The sequence below is a fragment of the Homo sapiens genome, chromosome 8, assembly GCF_000001405.40.
Source record: "Homo sapiens chromosome 8, GRCh38.p14 Primary Assembly".
In the NCBI taxonomy this organism is placed as follows: domain Eukaryota; kingdom Metazoa; phylum Chordata; class Mammalia; order Primates; family Hominidae; genus Homo; species Homo sapiens.
In genome coordinates, this window is record NC_000008.11 from 125,968,769 (window position 1) to 125,977,115 (window position 8,347).

Here is an 8,347-nt window from a genome sequence, read left to right on the forward strand (position 1 = left end):
TTCATACACTGAAGCCTTAACTCCCAGTATTTTAGAACGTGATTTTATTTGGAGATAGGGACTTTAAAGAGATAATTCAGTCAAAATGAGGCCTTTAGGGTGGACCCTAATGAAATTTGGCTGGTGTCCCTATAAAAAGAGAAAATGTGGACACATAAAAAGACACGAGGGTGCACAAGCACAGAGAAAAGACAAGGTGAGGGCACAGCCATCTGCAAGCCAAAGAGAGAAGCCTTGGAAGAAACTAAATTCATGAACATTTTGATCTTGGACTTCCAGTTTCTAGAACAGTGTGAAAATAAATTTACGTTGTTTAAGCCACCCGACTATGGCATTTTGTTATGGCAGCCTTAGTAGGCTAATATACCAATCATGCCACAAGTGATTTCCCCTAGTCAGATTCAGCCAGATGCTGTTCACGTGTGAGTCATATACTCAAAGTGGTTTGTTTATGAGAGCTATGAAAACTCCGGCTTAACTCCAGGAAAAGATGAGATAGTGATTCATAAACAGCATAAACTGATTGGAAAAGCCAAGTACCCATTGGTTAGTAGCAGAAAAAATAAGGTTATGTCCATGACAAAAATGCCTGTAAGGAGCAAATCATATGACAAGGGAATAATATTTGAATTAGGCTATATTAAAAAATGAAAAAAAAATAGATGCCAGGGGAATACAACTTATTTCAAGTGAGGCTTTTAATTAGGTCCTAGTAGAGCTGCCCCTGATTTTGTATTGTGGGTTTCGGGACTAACTGAGAGAAAAACCCACAGGGCACCCACATTCTCTATATTTTTGGTGGTCCATCATCACACTGTAATGCGCTGATGTGAGAGAACATGCTCCTGATTTAACAGCCTGAGTTTGAATCCTGGCTTGACTGGACCTGCCACTTTGGGCAAGATATCCTCTCCACACCTCAGTTTTCCCATCTGTAAAACAGGGTGATAACTGTTCTCACCTTGGAGGATTTTGTATTATGAGAGAGAATATGTTGTTAAGTGTTTGGAACAGTAGTTAATACAAATTAGTTTTATTACAAATTTTATTTATAAAATATCTGAATCATTCCTCTATAATTTATTTATAATAAAAATTTTATGATAAATTAGCTTCCTAGGTAAGTGACACTGCAGTCTTGACATGAATCTCTTCCATTAGAAAATGCTGAACATGACTTTATTTAGGCTTTGCTTGAAGATGCCATCATCATCATGAATATCACAATCTCTAGTTTTAAATACGCAGTTCGGTCCCTTCTGAGGCAACAGGGCATGACCTCCAATTGCCTTTCTAACTTCATTGATTTTCTCCACCTATTGACACCCCATGATTCTGAGAGTCTAAACTGCTTTTTTTTGGGGGGGGGGCTCCTATCTCTACGCAATCCTCTATCATCTTCACAGACTTTTATGTAAACCTTATTCTCTGCTTCAAATATTCTGCCTTCTGCCAACCTTCTCCTGATTGTACTTCTTTGTACTCATCACTGAAGATTCATCTTGGCCGGGCGCGGTGGCTCATGCCTGTAATCCCAGAACTTTGGGAGGCCAAGGTGGGCAGATCTCGAGGTCAGGAGATCGAGACCATCCTGGCCAACATGGTGAAACCTCGTTTCTACTAAAAATACAAAAAAAAAAAATTAACTAGGTGTGGTGACACATGCCTTTAATCCCAGCTACTCAGGAGGCTGAGGCAGAATAATCGCTTGAACTAGGGAGTTGGAGGTTGCAGTGAGCTGAGATTGCACCACAACACTCTAACCTGGTGACAGAGTGAGACTTCGTCTGAAAAACAAACAAACAAACAAACAAACAAACAAAAAAGACTCATTTCAGTATCACCTTTCCTGATCTTCTAGCCCCTGATATTCAGTGTTAGCCGTATCTCCCCTGGGCTTTTCTGGATGTCTGAGCATACCTGTGCAATGACATTTATCATGGGCATCATACTTCTTTGCTTATTTTTATATACATACCCTCACTGGATTCTGAGCTTCATGAGCTATTTCATTATTTCTGATCTTAAGTGCCTACCAGAAAAACTGCCATTAAATAGTCACTTTATATAGGCTTGAAATAAATGAATAGATTTAAAAGCAAATGTATGTTGAGGTTTCCCTTCAGTCTGAGCAAAAGCAAGTCAGAGTTGGACCTAATACATTGATGGCAGTAATATATTTAATATGTATTATTTAAACTGAATGTTTTATTTCAATAGACATTTATTGGCTGCTTAGCTATATGCATAGTACTGGGATCAATTTGGAAAGGAGAGGGAAGAAAATACTGTTGTACTCTTTGCCCTAACAGGAAGATTCTATCTCTTCTTGCTTAATTCAAGCCCCCCTCCAAGATAGGAGAATCTGCTAATTCAATCAGAGTCTTGAATTTGGATTGGATAATAGTTATTAGTGAGTCTGGTGACTGGAGTCTGGTGACATTTAAAGGATAGAATGCACATGTGCAGATAGCACTCTCTTGCACTTTCGGATTCTCCTTTTCATATGGAAGCAGACATCAGCACGGTCAATAGCCCTGAGCTGGATGCAGAGCCACGTCTCTCCTCTTTCCATCTCAGGACTTAAATTCAGAGGGACCTAGGGGATCGCATTTAAGCCTCAGGCTTTGTATATATTCTCCAATCTAATTTTTACCAGTGCTCTGATTTAAAGGTTAAATGGTGCTATTCCATTAAATATAGTAATACTTTGTTTTTCATATAACCTCTGTTCTTATATGTAGCTCTCTAAGAAACTGGCTTTGATTGGGGTGGGTTACAGGGTGGGGATTGGAGGTTGAAGAAAGAATGAAAAAAGTAGGAATAAATTATGCAGCAGGATTCAGGCTTTTCTCGGTTTCTAGCCATACCATGAAAAGAATAATGGAAAAGATATATAAATAGAGATCATTTTACCCTTGCCTTATAAAAATTATAATTGACTATACCTTTATGAAATTTATGTGAATGAGGAGAGCTGTTGTATTAGTTTCCTAGGGTATAATTATTCTGCTGTAACAAAGTACCAAAAGTACCAAAGGACCAAAAGCTGGCTTAAGAAAACAGAAGTGTATTCTCTTACAGTTTAAGAGGCAAGAAGTCTGAAATAAAGATATTGACAGGGTTGATTCCTTCTGCAGGCTGTGAGGAAGTCTTTTTCATGCTTCTTTTCTAGTTTTGAAGTGGAGAGATCAGTAGAACTTGTTTTCTGAGCACTGGTAATGACCTTGCTGATCAAAAACAGGATGCTGTAAAGAAACCTGCCAAAACCAGCAGATGGTGACAAAAGTGACTTCTGGTGCCCACACTGTTCATAATTAAAGACGCTCCTGCCAGTGCCATGACAGTTTACAAATGCCATGGCAACATGCCGTGGCAACAACTAGGAAGTGACCTTATACGGCTCCAGGAACTCCCCGCTTCTTTTCTAGAAAATTATGAATAACCCACCCCTTAATTAGCATAGAACTAAGAGTGGGCATAAATATAGCTAGCCAGCAATCCATGCTGGGGCTGCCTCTGCAGCTGTGGCTTCAGCTGTGGCCACTGCTCCTGCTCCAACGGCTTCTCCAGACAGCTACTGTTGCTGTATACTGCTTCTGCTGCTGCTGCTGCTGCTGCTACTACTACTACTCCAGGCTGCTCTGCCTGTGGAGAAGCCACTTTGCTGTACACTGCTACTGTAGGTGCACTGCCAAGGGCTTAGCCCAGTTATGCAAGGAACAGCCATTCCGCTATGCACTGCCGTTTCAGTAAACCTGCTTTCTTCCACCACTGGCTTGCTCTTGAATTCTTTCCTGAGTAAAGCCAAGGACCCTCCTGGACTAAGCTAATTTTGGGGCTTGCCTACCATACATCAGTTTCTGATGGTTGTCAGCAATTCTTGTCATTCTTTGGCTAGTAGACGCTTCAATCTGCCTTCACTTCACACGGCAGCCTCCACATTGTGTATCTAAAGCTTTCTGTGTCCTCTCCTCTTATAAGGATGCCAGTCATTGGATTTAAATGCTCTCCCTAACCCCAGGGTGATTTCATCTTGAGGTCCTTAATTACATCTGTAAATAACTCTATTTCCAAATAAAGTGACATCGTGAGGTTTTGGGTGAAAGTGAGCTTTTAGGGGATACTATTGCTTTGGTCCATTTTGTGCTGCTATAACAAATTACTGCAGGCTGGGTAACTTATGAAGAACGGAAATCTATATCTTATAGTTCTGGAGGCTGGGAAGTTGAAAATGAAGAAGCCAACATCTGGCAAGGGCCCTCTTGCTTTGTCATTCCATGGTGAAGGGTGGAAGGCCAAGAGAGCAAGAGAGAGCAAACTCCCTCCCTCAAGCCCTTTAAAATGACATTAATCCATTAATGGGCCAGAGCCCTCATGATCAAAACACCTCCCATTAGGCCCCACTTCCCAACACTGTTGCATTGGGGATTAAATGTCAACATGGGTTTTGGAGGAAACAAAAACATTCAATCCATATTCAACCCACCACAGTTGAGAGCTTATGTTCAATTCATTTGTTGAGGATGGTGGACTGAAACAGGCTCTCGCATCCCACTCTTGCTCCAAATACAAAACGATAAAAATGGCATGTAAATAAATAAATAAGTCCATGTACATGATGCACACAAAAGAGTCATTCTATGGACCAGGAATTGTGTGAAATCCATGAAAGACATAGAGTTGAAGACTGCAACCACAGCCTAAAACTACCCTAAAAGGTGTGATAACAAAATTGAAGTTGGCAGAAAAATGCTTGCACCCTGGGAATGGCCTATACTCAGAGCAGAAAGCAACTCTGTGACAACCAGCAAAGTGATTCATTGGTTTTGCCACTAGGAATAGCTCAGCACTTGACTGTATATTCATGTATCCTCACCTCGATGTGCATTTCTAGGTGGATGCAGAGGTTGTGGAGCTTGGGTTGGATGTAAAAGGCTGTAGGCGCACTGCCAAGGGGTTGTCCCAGATGGCTGGTCCCTTTAGGAGAAAGTGGTGGGCCGCCATCCTCAGATGCCTCGCATTCCCAGTGAGGACGGCCTCAGCAGCACCTTCTGTGGTTACCTTCAAGCTGACACTGCAGAGATGTATCAGGTAGTCTGACAGGAAATACTAATCCAAAAACTGAACACACAACGTGGAATAGCTAAACATCCAAGGAAAACCAACACCAGAGGAAGACAGATGATGAACTTGAGCTCAGGAGACTCAGAAACCTTGGGTGTTAGTCAGATGTTGTCCCCTAGAGAAAGAATTATGAAAATATGTCCCCAAATAGAAAAAATCCTAGAAGAGAAAGGCAGTATTCTTAAAATATCTTAGGTCAGAGTCCTATCCTATGATTTGTCATTTGCATCATTGCTTGGCAAGAAAATGACGTTCTTACCCTATCCTAAAACCCGAGAAGACAAAGAACACAAATCAAAACAAAACAAACTCTGTAACAGTTAGGTCACTGTCCTGCCTGGCCAACATAATGAATGATAACATTCTGACCAGAGATTCAAATTCCTAAGACCTTCCCTGGTTTTGGTTGAAAATTAGGGCAGTTGTTACCAAGGTCATCGAGGCCATACTTTTTTTTCCAGTGTATGTAGCGGTTCCCAAATGGGTCAAAATTGATTACATGCCTGAGAGTTTTTGAGGTGAAAAATGTATGCAAAGAGAGTTTCTTTTCCTTTGCATTGGAAGGAAAGAAAATTTCTGAAGAGGGTTACCAACCTCAAAATGTCATATATAAATAATGCTTATGAATCTCCCAAGGATAAAAAACTCTAGGCCAGAAAATAGTTATAAAGATGCAAGAATTGCATTACTCAATTCTATAATTCAATGGTTTCTAGCTAAGGCAGAAACTTCCTTTATTGGGATACAGAAAGTAGGAAAAAGCATCTTTAAATGTTTGATTCATTGTCACGTAAGAGAAATTATTTCTGAAAACATAAAAGTCTTTGTTAAAACCCACTAGAGCAGATACAGATAAAAAGCATTTTTAAAATAAGCTAAAGTCCAAAGGAACACAAAAACAAAAACTGCAGAATTTAAATTATATAATTCAAATTCTACTTGGCTTTTTCCATGCTGTTTTATTTTGAAAAATTTACTTAATTTTTCAGAGTCTTGATGCCCTCATTAATAAAGCAGAGATACTATAGACCTGATATGGCTTTTAAAAATAATTATATCAGTAATACATATTTATTTTAGAAAATAAACTGAGCATAATGGAAATTTAAATCTATAAAATTACATCTCACTTCTCTTTTTCTGTCAACATCTTCAAATTTAATTGCCTAACACCTACTATAGTACCTTGCTCATAGTAGGTAGCCTATAAATATTTGTTGAATGAATGAAAAACTAAATAGCCTTGTATCTCTGAGCTGGAGAAGTAGACAGGGACCAGATTGTAGATGGATTTGAATTTCATGCTGAAGAGCTTTTATTTTGAGCTGAGAAACACTTTTATCAAGTTTGATATGGTAATGTGGAATATAAAGTTAAGTGTGGGAAGTAGCAGTGGACCATCTTGATGGCAACTGAATGAACAGAGGCAGTGGAAAGAGTTAGAAAGTGGAAAGAGTTAGAAAGTGGAAAGAGTTAGAAAGTGGAAAGAGTTAGAAAGGTTCCACAGCGGCCTAAAGGCTACAGGCTATTTTCATCTTAACTATGCTTCCATTTACTCTATTACCTTTAATAATAGGTTATTATTCTCCCCGTTATGAAGGGGAGAAGAATCAGAGGAAGCAGAAAGAGAGCAATAAATAGAATTACTATATTTTAAAATTGAAATCCTAAGATTTGCATGATTTTATGTGAGTTGATTCCAAGTGCCTGCATATTTTCTCATCAGCAAAACAAGCTGGAAGTGGAACACCTCTGCCTGCTGCTGTTTTTAATGAGATAATTGAGACTAAGGAGGGTTAAATTTCTTTTGAGACCCCCCAGCTCGTGAGTGTTAGAGTGATTTTCAAACCAAGGTTTAAATGACTACAAAGTCCTTTTTCCTTCTATTAAACCTACTTTCTCCACAGATGGGGATGGGGGATGGAACTGAACTTCCTAGGATTACTAAACTCAAGGCTCTACAATCCTCTGTGGTGCTGATATTATGATGAAAAGCCAGTGGCTACCCTTAAAGAACTTTGCTCCTTCTCTATAGCGTCTCACCTGCTCATCTCTTCCTCTTACTCATGTTGGAACTAATGAGTTCTTTCCTTTGTTTCTTCTAAACTTAAAGGTATCCTTTCAGAGCTTAGAAAAGCACCTCATGATCTGCAGTAGAATTATGTTGAATTTTTCCATAGAGTCTTTTTCACTCCTTCGTATTACAACTGTTTTTCTCCCTGGATAATGCCCAGAGCTCAGAAAGCCTGAAATTTTCAGAGATGTGTAAGTATCTAACCTCAGTCAACACCAGAGCAGGAAAGAACAGTTTGTTCTTGAGAGAACAATCTCATTGATTCTTAATCTCAGGCCCCAAACTCAGCCATGGAGTCAGTCTAATTCCCTTTCTCTGCCAGCCTTATCTTTCTCCAAAGAGGCCAAAGACCTCTTTATAGAACGCAGAGCTAATTGGTGATCTTCATGGATGAAAACTACGCAGACAAGCTCATGAGGCAATGTATGAATGCGAGTGAAAGATAATCGCCAAGAGCACTGGGTTATAATAAAAGAAGAAAGACATGGAGAGAAAAGAGCACCTAACACACAGAAATGTGGAATAACCTTCGAAATGAGGTTGACAGCACCCTTTCTTTTCTGCAGTCAAAATAGAAGGGAACAAATCACTGAAGAGGTCTGTAAAAGGCAGTCCTTGAGTGTCATGCAGATGAATGATGTATGACCTCCCTGGTTCCCCTTGCTCTTTAATTTCTGTGGTTCCAAGAACTAACATTCCCTGCCACCTCACTGAAAAAGGGAGAGGTGTCTCTAATGACATTCCCAAAGTGAAGAACGCTGACCTTTCCAAGAAAAAGAAGGCCAGACATTTATTCACGTAAAAACAAAGCAAGTGTGTGTATGTGTAAGTGCAGTGTGTAGCAGCTTAAATTTGAGCCTAAAGATCAAACATTGAATTTCAGTGCTGTGATAGAAAATCCTTTTACACGTGCAAATTCAATGTATGTTTAATAAAAGAACAACTTCCTTCTTACATCAGGGCTCAGATTTTCATTTTGCTAGCAGGAATATTCATTACAATCCCAATCCCGTAATTTGTGTTGCTGTCATCTTCACTGTCACCTAGTATACTAAAAACATTAATGAGGCATTACATTTTCAATTTGAAAACTAAGTGTATGTCAAATATCTGCTTGTGTATTAAACTTTTAAAATGTTCTATATA

At 39.4% G+C, this 8,347-nt stretch overlaps 1 annotated feature.

The window, feature by feature from the left end:
- Window positions 297–591: a silencer, noted in NCBI's record as "tiled region #6550; HepG2 Repressive non-DNase unmatched - State 24:Quies". NCBI's record gives its function as "represses a minimal TATA promoter and a strong SV40 promoter by Sharpr-MPRA in HepG2 cells {active_cell/tissue: HepG2}" and the evidence as "EXISTENCE:reporter gene assay evidence [ECO:0000049][PMID:27701403]".